Raw genomic sequence first — 22,293 nt, 5'->3', positions numbered from 1 at the left:
CCAAGCTGATCTCCTGTGCTCAAGAGATCCTCCTGCCTCAGCCTCACAGCTGGAATTTCAGGCACAATAGTGCCAGGCTCTTTGGGACTTTCATAGGGAAGCCTGTGAGGGTGCCTGGAAGAGTTCAATGGATTCTTTTAGTTTTCTTTTTTACTTTCTTTCCTTCCTTTTCTCTCTTCTTTTTTCTTTTCTTTTCTTTTCCTTTCCTTTCCTTTACCTTTCTTTTCTTTCTTTCTTTCTTTCTTTCTTTCTTTCCTTTTCTTTCTCTTTCTTCTTTCTTTCTTTTTCCTTCCTTTCTTTCTCCTGTTCCCTCCCTCCCTCCCTTCCTCCCTCCCTTCCTTCCTTCTTCCTTCCTTCCTTCCTTCCTTCCTTCTTTCTCCTTTTTCTTTGCTTTTCTTTCTTTTTGACAGGGTTACGCTGTTGCTTAGGCTGGATTCCAGTGGCACAATCACGATTCACTGCAGCCTCCGTCTCATGGACCCTCAAGGGATCCTCCCACCTCAGCCTCCCCAGTAGGTGGGATCACAGGTGTGGACCACCACGCCTGGCTAAATTTGCTATAAAAATTAACAGGTTTTAGCCAAGCACGGTGACTCATGCCTGTAATCCCAGCACTTTGGGAGGCTGAGGCAGGTGGATCACCTGAGGTTGGGAGTTCAAGACCAGCCTGGCCAACATGGTGAAACCCCATCTCTACTAAAAATACAAAAATCGCCAAGTGTGGTGGTGGGCGCCTGTAGTCCCAGCTACTTGGGAGGCTGATGCAGGAGAATTGCTTGAACCTGGGAGGCAGAGCTTGCAGTGAGCCAAGATCCACACCACTGCACTACGTCCTCGGCAACAGAGTGAGACTCTGTCTTGAAAAAAGAAAAAAAAAAGCCTCAGTCATATGGATTTGTCCTAGACTCTGATTTGTTTATGAAACTCCCACCTTACTTATGTAAGGAAACTTTTTTTTTTTGGTCATATTAACCTGTCTATTGCCAGTTTAATTTCTAGGAACCCAGCTAGGGAACCCACAGGGGAGATGGAAAAGGATTTTTTCTTCTCTAAAGTAACATTTAAGAAAACCTAACAGCGATACGTTGTTGCAAACTGAAGACCCAAGGAGGGTGGGCAGGTTTGTCATCCATGAGTCTTGGTTGGTTCTGATTTAACAAAAGTTCATCCCTCTCAAAGCCTTAACCTTTGATGTCCCCACTGTCATTGCCTCTGTTATCCAAGCATGGCTCCCCTGGATTTTTGCAGTTACCTCCCCGCTAGTCCTTGCTTCCACACTTGCCTCTCCCTCCTCCTGTTGTTCTCCACACAGCAGAGTGTTCCTTTATTTATTTATTGAGACAGGGTCTTGCTCTGTTGCCCAAGCTGGAGTGCAGCAGCACAATCTTAGCACACTGCAATCTCTGCCTTCTGAATTCAAGCGATTCTCCTGCCGTCCCGAGTAGCTGGGATCAAAAATGCACACCACCACGCCCGGCTAATTTTTGTATTTTTAGTAGAGACGGGGTTTCACCATGTTGGCCAGGGTGGTCTTGAACTCCTGACCTCAAGTAATCTGCTCACCTCAGCCTTCCAAAGTGCTGAGATTACAGGCAAGAGCCACCGCACCTGGCCTGGCCCAGAGTGTTCCTTTATAAACATCATTAGGGTTGTGAGCCTTTCCTGATTAAAAGGCCTCAGTGGCTTCTCACTGACCATACAGCCCTTTGGTGATGGGGTCTCTTCCTGTCTGTCGGGAATTAGGCCGCGTTCTCCAGATCACTGTGCTGCCATGATGTGGGGTCCTAGAGCACCTAGCCAGTTTAACTCTGAAACCACCATACAAGCAGGCTTTGGGCCTGAATATAATCAACACTGGACCTCTCAGGACAAATCTGTCAAATCGGATATAACATGAAAGCCCATGGATCAACCTTTTAAAGGCAATAAAATACCATGATACCTTTTAAAGACAAGGGACAATTTATGTAAGTTAAACTTCAGATTTTGTGTTCCTTTTCCTTTCCACTGCTAAGTTTGTAGCAATCGCCTGACAGTGATTTGATTGCTCAGGATTGTTATCTTTTGAGATTAACCTCAGTAAACACTTTAAAGAGGTATGTAATTTATGCAGCATGCCCTATGGCTATGAGGTAGAGTGCAACTCCATATACTAGCGTCATCCTAGGAAAAAAAAAAGGAAGAGTAGAGTCTGGAATTCTCAACTTGAGGCTATCTTGGCTTCTACCAACAAATGCAGTAGTTCCAGCTGGGCAGGTGGCAGGCTGAAGACTTTAGGCTCTACCTGTGCACTTTTTTTTTTTTCCTCTTCTCAGTTTTCATTGTATGAAAATGTTGTTTTGAGTTGCGCAATTTGAGCTTTCCAATTGTAAAGAGTGTTCTATACAATTAAGAGTTTGATAAAGAGTAAAAAAATTGAGAAATACGGTATCTGTAATGCAGATTATCATTTTTATAATAGAGTACCAGCATATATTGAAGACAAATGGTTAAACTTCTCAAAAAAGTAAAAATGTGCTGGGCGCAGTGGCTCACACCTATAATCCCAGCACTTTTGGAGGCCGACGTGGGCGGATCACCTGAGGTCAGGAGTTTGAAACCAGCCTTGACCACCATGGTGAAACTTCGTCTCTACTAAAAATACAAAAATTAGTTGGGCGTTGTGGCATCGGCCTGTAATCCCAGCTACTAGGGAGACTGAGGCAGGAGAATCACTTGAACCCGGGAGGCGGAGGTTGCAGTGAGCCTAGATCATGCCATTGCACTCCAGCCTGGGCAACAAGAGTGAAACTCCATCTCAAAAAAAAAAAAAAAAAAAAAAAGTAAAAATGTGGCCTTGCTAGTTAGGAAGCAACAAGAAAGGCGAGGTATGAATGACATAGGTAGACCAGCACGAAAGAGGCAGCAGAGCTGGGGAAAGAATCTCCATATGCAAATCCCTTCTGTCTTATTTGAAAGGGCTTTTTGAGTTGGCTAAGATACATAATCAGGCCAAATAACATGAATCGGCTGGGATCAGGTAAAGTGTAAAGCCATTTGAAGGCTTCCTTTCACTTAAGGCTTTGCAGGGGGTCTAGGACACAGAAAGAGAAAAAGAAATGGATTAGCCTTAGCAGGTAATCTGCAAATAAGGAAACGGCAACAGGTGGGAGGTTGATTTTTGTTGTAGGGACATCTCGTTGTGTGATGGGTATTTTCCTTGATATAAAAAGATGATGCTAATCCAATGAGATCAGCACACATGTCCAGAAAGCTTCTGACCATGGGGAAAGACTGGTGTTTGCTTAAAGGTAGTTGTTACTTTTAGAGAGTTCCCTAAACCCAGAATACTATATTCATTAGAGATCGGGCACTTTGAGATGAGTCTGGTGCTGAGTTGGTATATTTTATTTATTTAATCCTTACTATGTTTTTTTTCTTAGAGTAAGTGTATTGCTCCATATTGGTGTTAGAATTAAAGTTTGTTTTTTTTCCTTTCTTTTTGATGTAACGTGCTTCAGCTTGATGGTGTGCCTTGGTTATACCTGTCTAATCACTTGGTTTGTGACTCATGAATGACTAAGGCCCTGTATCTCCCGAGGAAGATTGTTAGAATCCTAGCCAGGAATGAAACAGCTCCTGAGTAATGTGAATTACACATTTAATCCTATCACAGGAAAGGCAAACTCTTTCTCTGCAGGCACTTCTAAGATTGTGATTGTATTTATAAGTGTTACCCTCTGTCTTGTATGGGCATGGGTGATCACTCTTTCTTGGGTACTTTAGCTCTAGTTGTTGCCTTTTATTTGTGGAAACCTCACAAAAGTGTCTTTAAAATTTCCGTCTTGAGTCAGTGAGCTATTTAAATTCAAGCAATAAGTTATTTGATACTCTTAAGAAGTCTTTTCCTCAGTGGCTGAAGGAACATCAAATGGGGATGGCAGTAGAAGAAGTGATTGCTAGTGTTGGAATTGGTGTATTTTGGTTTCTGAATACATGGGGAGATGGTTTAAAACCTTTTTGAAGTAAAGGTGTGAAGTCCATACATTACAGTTATCTCTAGAGATCCCTGGGGAATTGGTTCCAAGACTCCCCTCAGACACCCAAATCCACATATGCTCAAGTTCCTGATATAACATGGCATAGTATTTGCATATAATGTACACGCATTGTTCCATATACTTTAAATCATCTCTAGATTACTTGTAATACCTAATACAATGTAAATGTTATGGTAATAGTTGTGATACTATATTGTATAGGAAATAATGATGAAAAAATTCTGTATATGTTGTGTACAGGCACAGCCATCCATTTATATTTATTTTTAAATATTAATTTTTTTGAGATGGGGTATTACTCTGTTACCCAGGCTAGAGTGCAGTGGCATGATCTCGGCTCACTGCAATCTCTGCCTCCTGGGCTCAAGTGATCCTCCTGCCTCAGCCTCCCGAGTAGCCGAAACCATGGGTGTGCACCAGCATACTCGGCTACTTTTTTGTATTTTTGATAGAGATGGGGTTTCACCATGTTGTGCAGGCTGGCCTCGAATTCCTGCGTTCAAGTGATCTGCCTGCCTTGACCTCCCAAAGTGCTGGGACTACAGGTGTGAACCACCACGCCTGTCCTATTTTTTAATATTTTCGATTTGCGACTGGTTGAATCTTCAGATGCAGAACTCAAGGACAGGGCTGCTGACTGTACTTGTGCCTTCTCTTTCACTGCTTCAAGAGAACAGAATTTTGGCTAATTATTACCATTCATTGTGTTCACAGATTAAAACCCAGCCATGTACCTTGAATTTGCTGGGTGTCAGTCTTTAAATGGTTTCTACTTTTCCAGACTCCAAATGAATAGACTTGTAAATATGATTATGTTTCTGGATTACAGAAACAGTTATTAGGAGATAACTTTGGTTTTTGGCAGTTTTATTATGATATGCCTAGATTTGTCTTTTTTTGTATTCATCCTCTTTGGTGTTCCTAGAGTTTCTTCAATCTGTGGCTTGATACCTTTGTCAGTTTTGGAAAATACTGGCCAGTATTTCTTCAAATACTGATTCTGTCTAAGTACCCATTTTGCTGCATTTTCCCTTCTCTCTCAGGTTGCCTGTTATGCGTATGACAGACCTTTTTCATCTTATCCCATATGTTTGTTATGCTCTTTTATGTAGTTCTCATTCTTTTTAATTAGGAGATTTTTTCCCCCTTTCATGGTAATAATTTTCATCATTCATAATTTTCATCCTGGATGTTTTCTGTGTACTAGTCTTCCAGTTCACTAAATTCTCTTTCCTAATTTGTGTCTAAACTAGGAAAGCTGCTGTTAAACTCATCGATTGAATTCTTAATTTTTGTTTGTTTTTGTAGATCTTTGTTCCTTGGTGAGAGTCTGTCTTTTAATTTTCTTAAACACATCAATCTTTTGTTTTAATGTCAATGTCTGTTAACTCCAGTCTAGATTACTTGTGGGTCTGTTTCCATTTTCTCATTTCCGGAACATCAGGTTCTGTTTTTTGGCATGCCTGGCAATTTTAAAAATTTTTTTCATTATTTTTAAACTTATGATTCGTGAATCAGGCAGCCTTCAGAATCACAGCAGATTCAGAGAGATTCCTGATGCCTGGCAATTTTTTATTGAAAATTTGGATGATATCTTCATAGAGAGTGGATTTAACCTTCTTCTAGCAGTCTGAGCAGATCGCCATGATTGAGTAGACTGGTTTTTTGGTTTGTCCACATTCCCAGAGCATAATGCTTTTGGGATCTCTTTCCAGGGCTCCTCCTCTGTTAGGCACTCAACACCAACAAAATTTTGTCTCCCTAGTGCTGACAGACTGCTGAAATATCTGCTCAGAAATAGTAGAGGCTTCAGTAAGCCGACTCATTTCTTCTAGCAGCTTCTTCCTGCTTGGTTTGTCTGAGCTGTGCCCCAGGTGTGTACAATTTTTGTGTGCAAATACCCACCTTAAGAGGAAAGGGCACGCGGAATGCAGAGTTTGTTTCAGTGCTTCAGTCCCGCCATTCCGTGATTTTGGTTCCTCATGTCCTGGCCGCTTTGGTTGCTTTTATCAGACAGAACTCTTCAACAGTTTCTTCTTACTTTTTTTGGTCTACTTTTGTCGTTGTGCTTAGGAGGACTGTTTGGGAACAGCAACTCAATCATAGGCAGAGAGAAAGTTCGTCATGGATTACTTTGACTTTTAAAAATTAAAACTACATTTATTGAAGTTAACATTTCAAACCTGTTTCACAAGTTGTTAAGCTCATCTTAAGGTCTTACTCAAATAAATCTTTTTTGAGGCCTTTTGTAATTTGTTTAATGAAATAGTTCACATTTTATTGATACATTTAATATTCTTTTTTGTTTTAAATTTTTGCTCAACTTTTGGTTTGATTTACTTAATGATTTTCGTACCTAACTTTAAATCTCCCTAGAATTTAAATATACTTATTAATTAAGGAAATTATTATGTAATTGCAAACAATTTTGGAGTTTACCTTCTTTGCTGATTGAAGGTGCATAACAACTTCCGACATAAAGTCTGGAGCTATAAATTCAGAGAAATGTCTCCTGTTCCTGACTGCTTGGCTAAGCCCCTTTTGATAATAATGATGCTATAAACTCCGCAATTAAAAAAAATAGAGTTTCTTTTTTTTCCCTTTGTTTTTGAGATGGAGTCTCGCTCTATCGCTCAGGCTGGAGTACAGTGGCACGATCTCTGCTCACCGCAACCTCTGCCTCCCTGGTTCAAGCCATTCTCCTGCCTCAGCCTCCCAAGTAGCTGGGATTACAGGCACACGCCACCACACCTGGCTAACTTTTGTATTATTAGTAGAGACAGGGTTTCACCATGTTGGCCAGGCTGGTCTTGAAAAAAAATACAGAGATTCTGATGATGAGCATGTAGTCTGTCCCTGCACTTGACTTATATCATAATATGCTTTTCAAGCCAGACAAGTCTAACCCTCATCCATCCTTTTCCTGCTTTATCAGTTTTTTGTAATTTTCATACTCTTCCTATTTACTTATTAGGACCCATTTACTTATTAGGGATGTATTTGACATCTAATTGGAGTTTATGCATTCCAAGTTGTGCCTGTCTTCCCATTTAGGTTTTTAGGATGTTCTTATCACAATGGTATGGGCCATTCATTGGAAATGAAGCTGCTCATTGCCGCACATTTAAAAATGGACTTGTTTTAAATGTATTGTCACCTAGTGTTTGCAATCTCATTTATCTGGACTATCAACTTACTATTGCTTTTCTGTCTGCAGAAAGATAAAAACTCTCCAGATGTCTTCCAGTAATGTCGAAGTTTTTATCCCAGTGTCACAAGGAAACACCAATGGCTTCCCCGCGACAGCTTCCAATGACCTGAAGGCATTTACTGAAGGAGCTGTGTTAAGTTTTCATAACATCTGCTATCGAGTAAAACTGAAGAGTGGCTTTCTACCTTGTCGAAAACCAGTTGAGAAAGAAATATTATCGAATATCAAGTATGTACATGAACTTGTAAAAAGACAGCTTTTTAATTTACCTACAGTGAACCTCACAGGTTTTGGCTATTTCCAAGAAACTGGCTATGAACATTTTTGTACAAGTCTTTGCACAGATATACAGACACATGCTTTCATTTGTTTTAGCTAAACTAGGAGTGAAATAACTGGGCCACATTTTAGGTATATGTTTGACTCTCAAAGTAACTGCCAGACTTTTTTAAAAAATGCACCACATGTGGCTGGATATGGTGGCTCATGCCTGTAATCCCAGCACTTTGGGAGGCCGAGGCAGGCAGATCATGAAGTCAAGAGATCGAGAACATCCTGGCCGACATAGTGAAACCCTGTCTCTACTGAAAATACAAAAAATTAGCTGGGCGTGGTGGTGTGTACCTGTGATCCCAGCTACTTGGGAGGCTGAGGCAGGAGTATGGCTTGAATCTGGGATATCAAGTCTGCAGTGGGCGATGATTGTCCCACTGTACAAATAGGTGGCAAAGTGAGAGCCTATCTTAAAAGAAAAAGAAAAAGCGTACTTTGTGAGGGTGCATTTATTTTGCTTATTTTATCTTTTAAAGTTAGTAGATGAGTAACTTGATGCACTAGAAGTCTCGTCTGCTCAAGGCTTCACACTTTTTTTTTTTTTTTTGAGAGGGAGTCTCGCTCTATCACCCAGGCTGGAGTGCAGCAGCACAATCTCGGCTCACTGCAACCTCCACCTCCCGGGTTCAAGTGATTCTCCTGCCTCAGCCTCCCGAGTAGCTGGGATTACAGGTGTGTGCCACCATGCCTGGCTAATTTTTGTATTTTTAGTCAAGATGGGGTTTCACCATGTTGGCCAGGCTGGTCTTGAACTCCTGACCTCATGATCCACCCGCCTCAGCCTCCCAAAGCACTGGGGTGTGAGCCACTGTGCCAGGCCACGCATTTTTTTTTATGGTCAAATGGCATGCATTTCAGCAATAGATGAGTTCATCTTTACTGCATGAATAGAACTGTGTTCCTTACTAGGCTCATAAAAATGCAGTCAGATCTTGCAATTCTTTCACATTTTAGTGGAAAGGTCATCAGGGGTTGGTGTTTTTGCTGCTGGCATTTCCTGTTTAAGTATCCATGAGAAAGGCCTTTTTGGCTGTAGTATTTCCAGTCTTTCTCCTATCTGCTGGCTCCAACTCTAAATACAGTTTCTGGAGGTAGAGGAAGGGCTGCTGTCATTTATCTTACTTTTGATTTGTGTTTGATAGCAGCATCACCATTCAGATAGTCATCTACATTCCAAAAAAGCTGATGAGAATTTTGATTTTGGTTTTTCCTCTGGACATTTTGTAATTTCACTTCTAGAACTAAGTCACTATAACCTGATTTCCTCTGCAGGGGGAAGAAGATAAAAACAGTCTGACCATGAGAATTTAAAAAGTTGTGATTCTTCTGACTTAGGACAAATCTTTCTCTTATGCTTGTTTGTCTCCATACCCAGCATTTGAGCTTTCCCTCACCAACGCTGAAGATCTTATGGAAAAAAAAATTCATTCCCATAGATATGTGGATGTCCTGTTATTTTAAGAGAAATTCATTATACTCTTGGAACATTTTTAATTAATAACTTACTTTGAAATGATTTCAAATTTATTTATTTATTTTTTAGAGATGGAGTCCTGCTGCATCACCTAAGCTGGAGTGTGGTGCTGCAATCATAGCTCACTCTAAGCTCCAACTCCTGGGCTCAAGTGATTCTCCCGCCTCAGCCTCTGGAGTAGCTAGATGCCACAATGCCTGGCTAATTAAAAATTTTCTGTGTGTGGAGATGGGGTCTTCCTACGTTGCCCAGGCTGGCCTTGAACTCCTGGGCTTAAGTGATCCTCCCACCTTGGCCTCCCAAAGCACTGGGGTTATAAGCATGAGCCACTGCACCTGGCCTGATGTTAAATTTAAACGTTTCAGGAACATAACCCTTTTCATTCAGGTTCTCAGCCAACATTTCACTGCATTTGTTCTCATCACTTTGTCTCTTCATGTTCCCATGGTCATTACTGTTTTTTCTGAACCGTGTGAGTGCAGGCTGTCCACATGGTGCTTCCTTCTCCTTAACTCCTTTGTGTGTGTTCTTGAAAAAACGACCCTCTCCTATATAACCACTCAGACATTGTCCAGGAGGAGCCAAGGGGAAATGTAGCCTTGTAATGAAGGTCGTGGTAGGTCCTCAGGGCCTTGGGTCAACCATGCCCCTCACATATTTGACTGCCACCATATCCTGTCTCTTCAGTCTCATTCAACGTGGTATTTTCTTATCTCATCCCACCCCTGGTGATGTTAAAATTGATCACTTGGTCATGTTGATGTCTGCCAAACTTGGCTATAATGTCACCCTTTCCCCTTGGTAATTGATTAGTGTTATGAGGAGAGATAAACTGACATTATTCCAGAACTCCATTCTACATTAAACTTCACCAACTTCAGTCCCCACTGGATGACTCCTGCCTGAGTCAGCCACCACTATCATAGTCGCCAAACAGTGATTTTCTATTATCATTATCTCTTAGTTTGTTTTACTAAAAGGAAAAACCTTCATCTATCACCAGTATAGAGTCAGGGATTTGTATTTTATTCAATTAACGCATTATTATGTTTTACCTTCATACTCTTATTGTTCCTGATTTGGTGGGAGATCTTTCAAGGTGGGTTCTTCCCTCTCTCCGTCTCTCATTCTTTGGATATATCTCCTCATTCTTATTTTATTTTATTTTATTTTATTTTATTTTATTTTATTTTATTTTATTGAGATGGAGGTTTGCTCTTGTTGCCCAGGCTGGAGTGCAGTGGCATGATCTTGGCTCACTGCAACTTCCGGCTCCTGGGTTCAAGAGATTCTCCTGCCTCAGCCTCCTAGCTGGGACTACAGGTGCCCACCACCATGCCCAGCTAATTTTTTGTATCTTAGTAAAGACGGGGTTTCATCATATTGGCCAGGCTGGTCTCAAACTCCTGACCTCAGGTGATCCACCTGCCTTGGCCTCCCAAAATGTAGGGATTACAGGCATAAGCCACCGTGCCCAGCCTCTTTTTGTAATTAAACAAATTTTATTAGAGACAAGGTCTTACGTTGTTGCCCAGGCTGGAGTGCAGTGGCATGATCATAGCTCACTGCAGCCTCAATCTCTTGGGCTCAAGTGATCCTATCACCTCAGCCTCCTGAGTAGCTGGGACCACCGGCACATGCCACCACTTCCAGCTAACTTTTAAGTTTTTTGTAGAGATAGGGTTTCACTATGTTTCCCAGGCACATCTCAAACTCCTGGGCTCAAGTGTTTCTCCCACCTTGCCTCATTCTTTGAATATTTGCTTGGCACAGCGAGCAGTTCCAGACTCACTGTGTACTTACCCTGCCTCAGACCTAGAATCAGCTGTTGATTTTTATGGAGGAGATATTTACAAAACCAAAATCTAGGTGTTTAAAATGCTCATTGCTATTGGGATGTCATTGTTTCTAGGCTTTCTCAGTGGAGTGAGACCTAGAGAAGATATGTATGTGTATACGTCTACACACATACGCATACACATACATGCATAACTTTTTAAAAAACTACCTCCCACGTGCAGGTGCATACAGATCTGGCCAAAGCGGGCGGGAGAAGAGCTGGGGGAGCAGTGGTGACCATTCCCGCAGCACCCTGGGAGTTTCCATCTTTATGTTTCTATAGCTGTCTTTGTATATGGATTAAAACCTATGGCTTCTCATTAATTTCTCCAATTCTCATCTGAACCCTCAAGATTCTGTCTATATTTCCATGTTAGTAAAATTTCAAAAAGTGACAAATCTAGCTCTAATTGGCTAGAGAGGGTGGGAGATTGTTTATATTATGGAATAAGAAAATCAGCAAGTACATTAAGGATGTACGTTAAGGATATACTTCCTAATTTTCCTATTCCATAATATAAACAATCTCCCCACCCTCCAGCTATCTCTTCTCAACGTTTTTTAAAAGGTGAAAACATTTTTCCTTGTCTTTTTAGAAGTAATCCCATTTATAAAAATGCAGAAATTTATTTATTCAACAAATTTTGAATGCCTGCTAGTGCAGGACATTGTGCAAGATGCTAGTGACACAGGTAAATCCTCAGTTCAGGGAAGCCTTAAAGCCTAGTGGGGGATTCAGAACACACTTTCACGCTGATAAAAGGATTGATTAGAAGACCCAATGGGAGCCCCAACCCTAAATTGGAGGGCCCGGGCGTGGTGATTGAGAAAGTGAAGATTTTGTGTGTGTAGGGATGGGAGGGTGGGAGGGAGGTGAGCATTGACCTCTCTTGTCCATAAACAAAACAAGACCAAGGGATTAATCATTATCCACTAAAATGTAATAGAGGTGACAGGAAATTTTGGGGTAAATTTTATTCCCTGTGTTCCAGGTTCATGTTCAGTGGTTTACAACAACTGTGCTGTATGTCATGGGCAGGAGGGTGTGAGAGGTGGTAGCAATGTGGCATGCTGTTCTTGTTGACAGACTTTTATAGTGAGGGACACTGACCTGCATGCAAATGCTGTAAAGCAATAAATAAGGGTGGGGAATGCAGTTTCAGGGATGATAGAAGGGTGGAGGGTGGGGTGGGCAGGCCAGTGAATTGTAGACCATAGACTAGAACAGAGGTCAGCAGGCTGTTTCCATAAAGGGCAGATAGTATTAATAAACATTTTCAGCTTTGTGGGCCATGCGTCTGTGTTGCAGCTACTCAGCTGTGGTGTAGCATGAAAGCAGCCCTAGGTAATATGTAAGGGAATGAGCACGGCCCTGTTCCAACAACCCTTTGTCTAAGAAAACTGCTGATCCCTGGACTAGAATGTAAACTCCACAAGGGCTCAGACTTTGTTTTTCGTTTGTTTGTTTGTTTTGTTCTCAACTCTCCCATGCCCTAGAAGAATATCTTGTATGTACACAGTAAATACTTGATCATTGTGTTGAGTGGATGGAGTTGGAATTAGCCACTGCTCCAAATGGAAACTCTTGGCATTTATGACTGGACATTGTTGTTGTTTTCTGTAATGCCAGGGTTTCATCCCAAAGTAGTAAGCCAAGCTCTTTGTCTTAGAACATTCATGTTGAGGTTTGGGTTAATCATTTAGGATTGCTTGGTCTTTATTTGAGTAGGTATTTTAGAAACCTGGAAAGCTTTTCTGACAGTGGAGCCTTAGTGAATAACAAGCTTATGGTGATTTTAGAGGCAGTTATTAGGGACCTGTTTATAAAGAAGATGCATCAAGAGCTATAGATAAATGCACCTTGAAAATTTGCCCAATCATTAGTATGTTGTTTTACACATTTAGAGGGAAGAGTCCACTGAAAGAGTAAGAGATTTTTCTGTTAGATCTTGCTCCTGGTTTACCTAACTCCCATTGTCTTTGTGCAGCGTTTCACTGAGAGATACCCCAGTTAATGAGCAAAGTGAAAGCTACATTTCACTCTTGTACCCACCAGCCATTGTACAATTGTGATAGTTCAAGTACAACAGGCAGTAAATGCTCAGGGAGTCTTGGGTTTAAGCACTGTGGTGCAGTTGCTTATCACTCATAATTGTATAGGATCATAGGATTGGCCTCTGTGCTAATCATTATTTGAGAATGAAATAGTCTTTGGCTTTGACCTTCCATTTGGAATAGATATTACTTTCTCTGTGGAATATATTGTAACTTACTTATCAATTCTAAGGAGAGAATGGGCATAGATACCTGTGTTTTGAAAGGAACAAGCCAGGCCCCACCCTGAAGTCTCCTTTCTTCTTCTTCTTTTTTTTTTTCTGAGACGGAGTCTTGCTCTGTTGCCCAGGCTGGAGTACAATGACGTGATCTCGGCTCACTGCAACCTCCACCTCCTGGGTTCAAGTGATTCTCCTGCCTCAGCCTCCCGAGTAGCTGGGATTGCAGGCACCCACCACCGTGTCTGGCTAATTTTTGTATTTTTAGTAGAGACGGGGTTTTGCCATGTTGGCCAGGCTGGTCTAGAACTCCTGACCTCAAGTGATCCACCCGCCTCGGCTTCCCGAAGTGCTGGGATTACAGGCATGAGCCACCACACCCGGCCAAATTCTCCTTTCTCCAGTTCCTTCACTTATCATTCTACTTGCTATCTTTAGGAGAAAATCAAACTATTTGCTGTCTTCTTGGGTCTCAGCACAGTCAACACTGCCATAATTTTTTCCACCTTCCTTCTCTATCTGAATATTCACTACCCTCAGACATCCACTTTGTTTGAAACGTGCTTATGTATGTACCACGTCTTCATATTCTTAAAGGATGACCCTACCAAAGTGATGTCTTCTCCTTCTAAACTTGGAATTTTCCAGTGTATTTATCTGACTCTTAACAAGGAAGAAAATGATATATCTTGAGGATATATCTTTTACTTTTCTAAATGGATTAAGGCTTTTTTTTTCTTTCGGTCATGTTTTCTTTTTATCCTGAAGTGCTTTATCCCAGCCTCGATTTCTACTTAGATGTTTCTTGGGCTGATTAGATTTTAGCAGTGAGAATACTTCTACCGGTATTCCACAAATTAGCGACTTATTAATTGTGTAGAATTTGACTAGGTAGCAAATGTGACCACTTGAAGATACAGTACTGATCATCAAACAGTACTCAGAACACGCCATGTATTTCGTTTCACACTGTGTTAAGAGCAGTAAGTGTAACGGAGATGTTTCACAAGAATCTGTTAGTTATTTCAAGGAACGTTAAATGTTGAATGTCATTTTCCAGAAAATATAAATGGGTTAGAGAATAAGTGAAAGGAATTTAGAGGAATCTATGCCATTTTTCTTGTAGGACTTGACCAGTGATTAACATCCATTATATATTACACATCAAATCAACAATCTTTTTTTTTTTTCTTTAAGTAGAGACAGTGTCTCCCTATGTTGCCCAGGCTGGTCTCAAACTCCTGGCCTCAGGCAATCCTGCTTTGGTCTCCCAGAGTGCTGGGATTACAGGCCTGAGCCACCATGCATGACCTGTTTTGTTTGTTTGTTTTCTTTAAGAGTTGGTTTGTGCTTGTGTTCTATTTGTAATTTCATCAACCTTCATTGAGTATATTCAGTGCCTACCCTAAATTAATAGAACCTGACTTAAAATGGAATAGTAAATCAGTCTGTTTTTGTGTTTACAGTGGGATCATGAAACCTGGTCTCAACGCCATCCTGGGACCCACAGGTGGAGGCAAATCTTCGTGAGTATAAGAGAGTATAAGTAAGCGTTTTCTGTGCACTTTTAATGTGCTTTTAAAAGCCACTTTTTTTTGTGTGCGAGCAGGTATTTATTGAGCATTTGCAACGCATGTCAGGTCTGGTTCTAGGTGCTGTGGATAACTGTAGTTGCGTGGTTTTTTCCCAAAGACCAGGTAGTCTTATTAGGTTAGCTTTACTAATAGGATTTGATAAGGTGATTGACATGTAGCAGTTGACCATGTTATCAGCTAATAGGGAGGAAAAAGAATGGGAGAATATTAAAAGTAGGGAAAGGAAGCAGAAGATGTAAGTAAAGGCATGAGTCTTAGATAAAAGAGCACATTGCCTGTGTTAGTACCTCCAAGGTCAGACAGCTGGAAGGGCCATTTGGGAGATCTGTACTTGATCAGCCAATGGTGTCTTGCTTTATGTTTTGGGGCTTTATTGTAATGTACAATGAAAAGAGAAAGGTGAGAATTTTTAAAAGCATAATTTTAGTTAAACCATAGAATTTCTTGACCAGTTAATTTTCTAACTAAAGTAGAATTTGGATTCAAAGTAGCCATGAGATATATAGCATGTGTTGGAGGGAAAAAAACCCCACAACATATATATTCTCTTATAGGTTATTAGACCCACAACATATATGTCCTCTTATAGGTTATTAGATGTCTTAGCTGCAAGGAAAGATCCAAGTGGATTATCTGGAGATGTTCTGATAAATGGAGCACCGCGACCTGCCAATTTCAAATGTAATTCAGGTTACGTGGTACAAGTAAGTATTAGTGGGTTTGCATTTTCTGTTTCCTCTGTTTCTATATGGGTAAGTGCTTTGGCTGATAGTTCAATGTGCTTCCAGTTGATTATGTGACATGGTCCTAGAACTGACGTTCTTTACAGCAGCTTTTCTTAATTTCTCATAGACACTTATGTGAAAAGGCAGGGAGAATCTGGAATATGGCCCTTGTAAGGACAGTGATACCAATTCTAGTTTTTGTATCATTTCTAAAATGATACATACTACTGTTATCCTTTTTTGCCTTTCCTTCACCTTTCTTTTCCCCTAGCTTAGAAAGATATTTTGGCAAATCCTTGTATGAAGCAGTTTGGAAATGTCTGCTGGTAGTTAACATAATTACTTGCATTCTATTTGGGTGTACAGATAGGGGGTGAAAAATGATTATAGCAGGCTTTGCAGACATCTATGGAGTTAACTGTCATTTGCAGAACTGCAGGTTCATCATTAGCTAGAACTTTACCTTAGTTATGTTATCTTTGTGGATTATGTTATGTATACTAAACAGTCATGGTCTTAGAAAAGACTCATTATCATTATGTCTCATTAAAATGCTATTTGCCTTAAGGATGATGTTGTGATGGGCACTCTGACGGTGAGAGAAAACTTACAGTTCTCAGCAGCTCTTCGGCTTGCAACAACTATGACGAATCATGAAAAAAACGAACGGATTAACAGGGTCATTCAAGAGTTAGGTCTGGATAAAGTGGCAGACTCCAAGGTAATGTGGAAAAACTGAAAGCATCATGATCAGCATAAGTAGGACTTTCCCTGTGTGGATAAAATGACTCTGATTCAGAAGTTTCCTGTAATGTGTATGGTCAAAAATGGTTGCTTTCCATAACAATGAGAAAAGTGGCTTGTTACATAATATGAACGTGGAAATTAACCTGGAAAAAAAATCTTCACATTGGTTGAATTCTGCACCTGAAGTGAGGCAATGTGGTGTTGTACGTGAAAGTGTTCATCACCTGGCCTTTCCTTATGCTCCTCCCCCACCTCATGGTTTAAGTCACGTCTCATTCCGTGTCTGCACTAACTTTTCTTCTTCCTCTTTTTCTCTTCCTCCTTTTAGTCACTCTTCCTCCAAGGGACTTTGTTCCATTGCTATTGAGGTATATTTCTGGGATTGATAAGTGATGAGAGTCCAAGGATTCTTGCTCTGTATCAGCAGTCCCCAACTTTTGCCACCAGGGACCAGTTTTATGGAAGACAGTTTTTCTATGGACCAGGGTAGGGGGGATGGTTTTGGGATAATTCAAGTGCATTACATTTATTGTACACTTTATTTCTATTATTATTTCATTGTAATATATAATGAAATAATTATACAACTCATCATAATATAGAATCAGTGGGAGCCCTAAGCTTGTTTTCCTGCAACTAGATGGTCCCATTTGGGGGTGATGGGAAACGGTGACACATCATCAGGCATTAGATTCTCATAAGGAACACACAATTTAGATCCTCGTACATGCAGTTCACAATAGGGTTCATGCTCCTATGAGAATCTAATGCCGCCACTGACCTGACAGGTGGAGCTCAGGTGGTAATGCAAGCATTGGGGAGCGGCTGTAAATACCGATGAAGCTTTGCTCACTTGCCTGCTGTGCATCCTGGTTCCCCAGAAGTTGGGGACCCCTGCTCTATATGTTTCAGTTTCCTATAATTTGGCTTCCAAAATTATATTTGGTCAAATTAGGATTTATTTCTCATTTATGTAGTGTCTGTTTTTTTTAATAGCCTTTCTTTTAATAGTTTTGTCTCTCATTCCCTCCCTTCTCTGCCTCTTTTTCTTCTGCCAAATGTTTACAGACTTTTGTATGCTAAGCTGTCTTTTAGGTTCTAGAGATACAATTGTGGGCAAGAGAGACAAAGTAACTCCTCCTCTTGTGGGTTGGAGAGGATCGTGAAGAAAAAAATGACATGAATGAATGAACTTTACAATTGATTAATATGTTTGGAAGATTTGCTGAGAAGATATTTGAAGCTTTGGGTGAAAATGAGCTTTTTGCATTGTAATGGCTATAGTGTAATCCCCTGTGATATCCCTTACTTAGAAGCAATGAAGAATGAGATGTTCTAATGGTGTATACTTCATATTATGCTTTCTGACAGTCCTTTCTGTTCAGGGTGTTTTACTGTATTTTGTTTGGAAGAGTAACTCTGAGATGCCACCATTCACTACTTATTTCCGCTTTATGAGTGATTGGGTTTTCTTTGCTTTGGTTCTGTTTGATTTTATCTTACCAGTAAGGTGTTTTGTTCCACTCTATTCTTTACCTTCAGGCAGCCATTGCCCTATGTTGCTTGTTAGGATATCTAGGGAAAATAGACTGTGAAGGCACAGCTATTGACTTCCTAGTTTATTTATCTAAATAATTGAAGCAATACATTTAAAATATGTTACTTTTTGTGAAATTTTAAACATAACAGAAATGTAGAGTGAATTGTCTGATTACTATAGTAATGATATGGCTATAGTATAATTAATATAATAATGAGACAATTAATATCATTTACATAGATTTCCCAGTTATTAACCTTAGGTATATATGGGGTCAATTTGGGGAGCCTCATGGTAATTGAAAAGGTGTTAATATCATATGAGAGAAAGTGAACTCTCCTAGCTGCAGAGCCCATGCTCTTATTGTAAGTCCACCTGGAGGCTGGGAGGGGAGAGAGTGTTAGAAGACTAATAATTATAGTTGCATTCACATTTTCTTCTCCTGACTTTATCTCCCTTTTTAGACTGTGATTTCACCATGTCACCTATCTTTTAGTGTTCTGAACTTCAAACTACATATTTGACTTGGTGAAGAACAAACTGTTAAAAGCAGGTGCTTTTTTTAAAAAATTTTATCTTTCACTAAAGTTCTGGGATACATGTGCAGAACGTGCAGGTTTGTTACATAGTATACATGTGCTATGGTGGTTTGCTGCACCCTTCAACCCATCATCTACATTCGGTATTTCTCCTAATGCTATCCCATCCCTAGCCCCTGACACCCTGACAGGCCCCAGTGTGTGATGTTCCACTCCCTGTGTCCATGTGTTCTCATTGTTCAACTCCCACTTATGAGTGAGAACATGCAGTGTTTCGTTTTCTGTTCCTGTGTTAGTTTGCTGAGAATGATGGTTTCCAGCTTCATCCATGTCCCTGCAAAGGACATGAACTCATTCTTTTTTATGGCTGCATAGTATTCCATGGTGTATATATGCCACATTTTCTTTATTCAGTCTATCATTATGGGCATTTGGGTTGGTTCCAAGTCTTTGCTATTGTGAATAGTGCTGCAATAAATACATGTGTGCATGTGTCTTTATAGTAGAATGATTTATAATCCTTTGCGTATATACCCAGTAATGGGATTGCTGGGTCAAATGGTATTTCTGGTTCTAGATCCTTGAGGAATCACCACACTGTCTTGCACAATGGTTGAACTAATTTACACTCCCATCAACAGTGTAAAAGCATTCTTATTTCTCCACATCCTCTCCAGCATCTGTTGTTTCCTGACTTTTTAATCATCGCTATTCTAACTGGCATGAGATGGTATCTTATTGTGGTTTTGATTTGCATTTCTCTAATGACCAGTGATGATGAAGTTTTTTTCATATGTTTGCTGGCTACATAAATGTCTTCTTTTGAGAAGTGTCTGTTCATATCCTTTGCCCAATTTTTGATGGGGTTGTGTTTTTCTCATAAATTTGTTTAAGGTCTTTGTAGTTTCTGGATATTAGCCCTTTGTCAGATAGATTGCAAAATTTTTCTCCCATTCTGTAGGTTGCCTGTTCACTCTGAAGATAGTTTTTTTTTTTCTTTCTTTTTTTTTGCTGTGCAGAAGCTCTTTAGTGTAATTAGATCCCATTTGTCAATTTTGGCTTTTGTTGCAATTGCCTTCAGTGTTTTAGTCATGAAGTCTTTGCCCATGCCTATGTCCTGAAGGGTATTGCCTAGGTTTTCTTCTGGGGTTTTTACAGTTTTAGGTCTTACATTTAAGTCTTTAATCCATCTTGAGTAGAGGTGTAAGGAAGTGGTCCAGTTTCAGTTTTCTGCATATGGCTAGCCAGTTTTCCCAGCACCATTTATTAAATACAGAATCCTTTCCCCGTTGCTTGTTTTTGTCAGGTATGTCAAAGATCAGATGGTTGTAGATGTGTGGCATTATTTCTGAGGCCTCTGTTCTGTTCCATTGGTCTATATATCTGTTTTGGTACCAGTACCATGCTGTTTTGGCTACTGTAGCCTTGTAGTATAGTTTAAAGTCAGGTCACGTGATGCCTCCAGCTTTGTTCTTTTTGCATAGGATTGTCTTGGCTATACAGGCTTTTTTTTGGGTTCCATATGAAATTTAAAGTAGTTTTTTTTCTAATTCTGTGAAGAAAGTCAATGGTAGCTTGATGGAGATAGCATTGAATCTCTATATTACTTTGGGCAGTATGGCCATTCTCATGATATTGATTCTTCCTATCCATGAGCATGAAATGTTTTTCCATTTGTTTGTGTACTCTCTTATTTCCTTTGTGGTTTGTAGTTCTCCTTGAGGAGGTTTTTCACATCTTTTGTAAGTTGTATTCCTAGGTATTTTATTCTCTTTGTACCAATTGTGAATGGAAGTTCATGATTTGGCTCTCTGTTTGTCTATTATTGGTGTATAGGAATGCTTGTGATTTTTGCACATTGATTTTGTATCCTGAGACTTTGCTGAAGTTGCTTATCAGCCTTCAGAGATTTTGGGCTGAGACAAGGGGCTTATCTAAATATACAATCATGTCATCTGCAAACAGAGACAATTTGACTTCCTCTCTTCCTATTTGAATACACTTTATTTCTTTCTCTTGCCTGATTGCCCTGGCCAGAACTTCCAATATTATGTTGAATAGGAGTGGTGAGAGAGTGCGTCCTTGTCTTGTGCCGGTTTTCAAAGGGAATGCTTCCAGCTTTTGCCCATTCAGTATGATATTGGCTGTGGGTTTGTCATAAATAGCTCTTATTATTTTGAGATACATTCCATCAATACCTAGTTTATTGAGAGTTTTTAGCATGAAGGGGTGTTGAATTTTATCGAAGGCCTTACTGCATCTATTGAGTTAATCATGTGGTTTTCGTCATTTGTTCTATTTATGTGATGGATTACATTTATTGATTTCTATATGTTGAAGCAGCCTTGCATCCCAGGGATGAAGCTGACTTGATCATGGTGGATAAGGTTTTTGATATGCTGCTGGATTCAGTTTGCCAGTAGTTTATTGAGGATATTCACATTGATGTTGATCAGGGATATTGGCCTGAAATTTTCTTTTTTTGTTGTGTCTCTGCCAGGTTTTGGTATTAGAATGATGCTGGCCTCATAAAATGAGTTAGGGAGAAGTTCCTCTTTTTCTATTGTTTGGAATAGTTTCAGAAGGAATGGTACCAGCTCCTCTTTGTACCTCTGGTAGAATTCGGCTGTGAATCTGTCTGGTCCTGGACCTTTTTTGGTTGGTAGGCTATTAATTATTGCCTCAATTTCAGAACTTGCTATTGGTCCACTCAGTGATTCGACTTCTTCCTGGATTAGTCTTGGGAGGGTGTGTGTGTACAGGAAAATCCATTTCTTCTAGATTTTCTAGTTTATTTGCGTAGAGGTGTTTATAGTATTCTTTGATGGTAGTTTGTATTTCTGTGGGATCAGTGATTATATCCCCTTTATCATTATTTATTGTGTCTATTTGATTCTTCTCTCTTCTTTATTAGTCTAGCTTGAGGTCTATGTATTCTATTAAACTTTTCAAAAAACCAGCCCTGGATTCGTTGATTTGTTTGAAGGGTTTTTTCCTGTCTCTATCTCCTTCAGTTCTGCTCTGATATTAGTTATTTCTTGTCTTCTGCTAGCTTTTTGAACTTGTTTGCTATTGCTTCTCTAGTTCTTTTAATTGTGATGTTAGGGTGTCGATTTTACATCTTTCCCACTTTCTCCTGTGGGCATTTAGTGCTATAAATTTCCCTCTAAACACTGCTTTAGTTATGTCCCAGAGATTCTAGTACGTTGTGTCTTTGTTCTCATTGGTTTCAAAGAATTTATTTATTTCTGCCTTCATTTCATTATTTATCCAATAGTCATTCAGGAGCAGGTTGTTCAGTTTCCGTGTAGTTCTACAGTTTTTTTTTTTTTTTTTTTTTTTTTTTTTGAGACAGAGTCTTGCTCTGTTGCCCAGGCTGGAGTGCAGTGGTGCAGTCTCAGCTCACTGCAAGCTCCACCTCCTGGGTTCACGCCATTCTTCTGCCTCAGCCTCCCAAGTAGCTGGGACTACAGGCTTCCACCACTTAGCCCGGCTAATTTTTTGTATTTTTATTAGAGATGGCATTTCACCACGTTAGCCAGGATGGTCTTGATCTCCTGACCTCATGATCCGCCTGCCTCGGCCTCCCAAAGTGCTGGGATTACAGGCATGAGCCACCACGCCCAGTCATAGTTGTGCAGTTTTGAGTGAGTTTTTTTTTTTTGAGACAGAGTCTCGCTCTGTTGCCCAGGCTTGAATGCAGTGGCGCGATCTTGGCTCACTGCAAGTTCAGCCTCCCAGGTTCACACCATTCTCCTGCCTCAGTCTCCTGAGTAGCTGGGACTACAGGTGCCCGCCACCACGCCCAGCTAATTTTTTGTATTTTTAGTAGAGACGGGGTTTCACCGTGTTAGCCAGGATGGTCTTGATCTCCTGACTTCAAGATCCACCTGCCTCAGCCTTCCGAAGTGCTGGGATTACAGGCATGAGCCACCACGCCTGGCCTTGAGTGAGTTTCTTAATCCTGAGTTCTAATT

The 22,293-nt window shown here is 40.3% G+C and overlaps 1 protein-coding gene across 15 annotated transcripts in view, besides 2 other annotated features; it reads left to right on the top strand.

Annotated features, from left to right (window-relative positions):
- Positions 1-22,293, top strand: part of ABCG2 (ATP binding cassette subfamily G member 2 (JR blood group)) — a 141,363-nt gene that overhangs the window by 84,355 nt on the left and 34,715 nt on the right. For 11 of the 15 annotated variants that reach the window (NM_001257386.2, NM_001348985.1, XM_011532420.4 and 8 more), the window contains 4 exons: positions 7,258-7,479; positions 14,637-14,696; positions 15,355-15,469; positions 16,059-16,211. In NM_001257386.2, coding sequence (NP_001244315.1) covers positions 7,277-7,479; positions 14,637-14,696; positions 15,355-15,469; positions 16,059-16,211 — 531 coding nt within the window. In that variant the 5' untranslated portion in view covers positions 7,258-7,276. The remainder of the gene's footprint in view (positions 1-7,257; positions 7,480-14,636; positions 14,697-15,354; positions 15,470-16,058; positions 16,212-22,293) is intronic. The other 4 variants (NM_001441211.1, NM_001441213.1, NM_001441212.1 and 1 more) reach the window with 2 other exon arrangements.
- Positions 8,972-9,371: a transcriptional cis regulatory region, noted in NCBI's record as "silencer region targeted for CRISPR/Cas9 deletion". NCBI's record gives its function as "negatively regulates ABCG2 gene expression in K562 erythroleukemia and 293T embryonic kidney cells {active_cell/tissue: K562 | 293T}" and the evidence as "EXISTENCE:knockout evidence [ECO:0001091][PMID:32094911]".
- Positions 9,067-9,278: a silencer, noted in NCBI's record as "fragment chr4:89059146-89059357 (GRCh37/hg19 assembly coordinates)". NCBI's record gives its function as "represses an EF-1alpha promoter that drives an FKBP-Casp9 reporter gene in an ReSE screen, or a PGK promoter in conventional reporter assays, in K562 erythroleukemia cells {active_cell/tissue: K562}" and the evidence as "EXISTENCE:reporter gene assay evidence [ECO:0000049][PMID:32094911]".

The sequence above is a fragment of the Homo sapiens genome, chromosome 4 (genome assembly GCF_000001405.40).
Source record: "Homo sapiens chromosome 4, GRCh38.p14 Primary Assembly".
In the NCBI taxonomy this organism is placed as follows: Eukaryota; Metazoa; Chordata; class Mammalia; order Primates; family Hominidae; genus Homo; species Homo sapiens.
The sequence above is the reverse complement of the archived record's forward strand: the minus strand, read 5'-3'. Positions and strand labels throughout refer to the sequence as shown.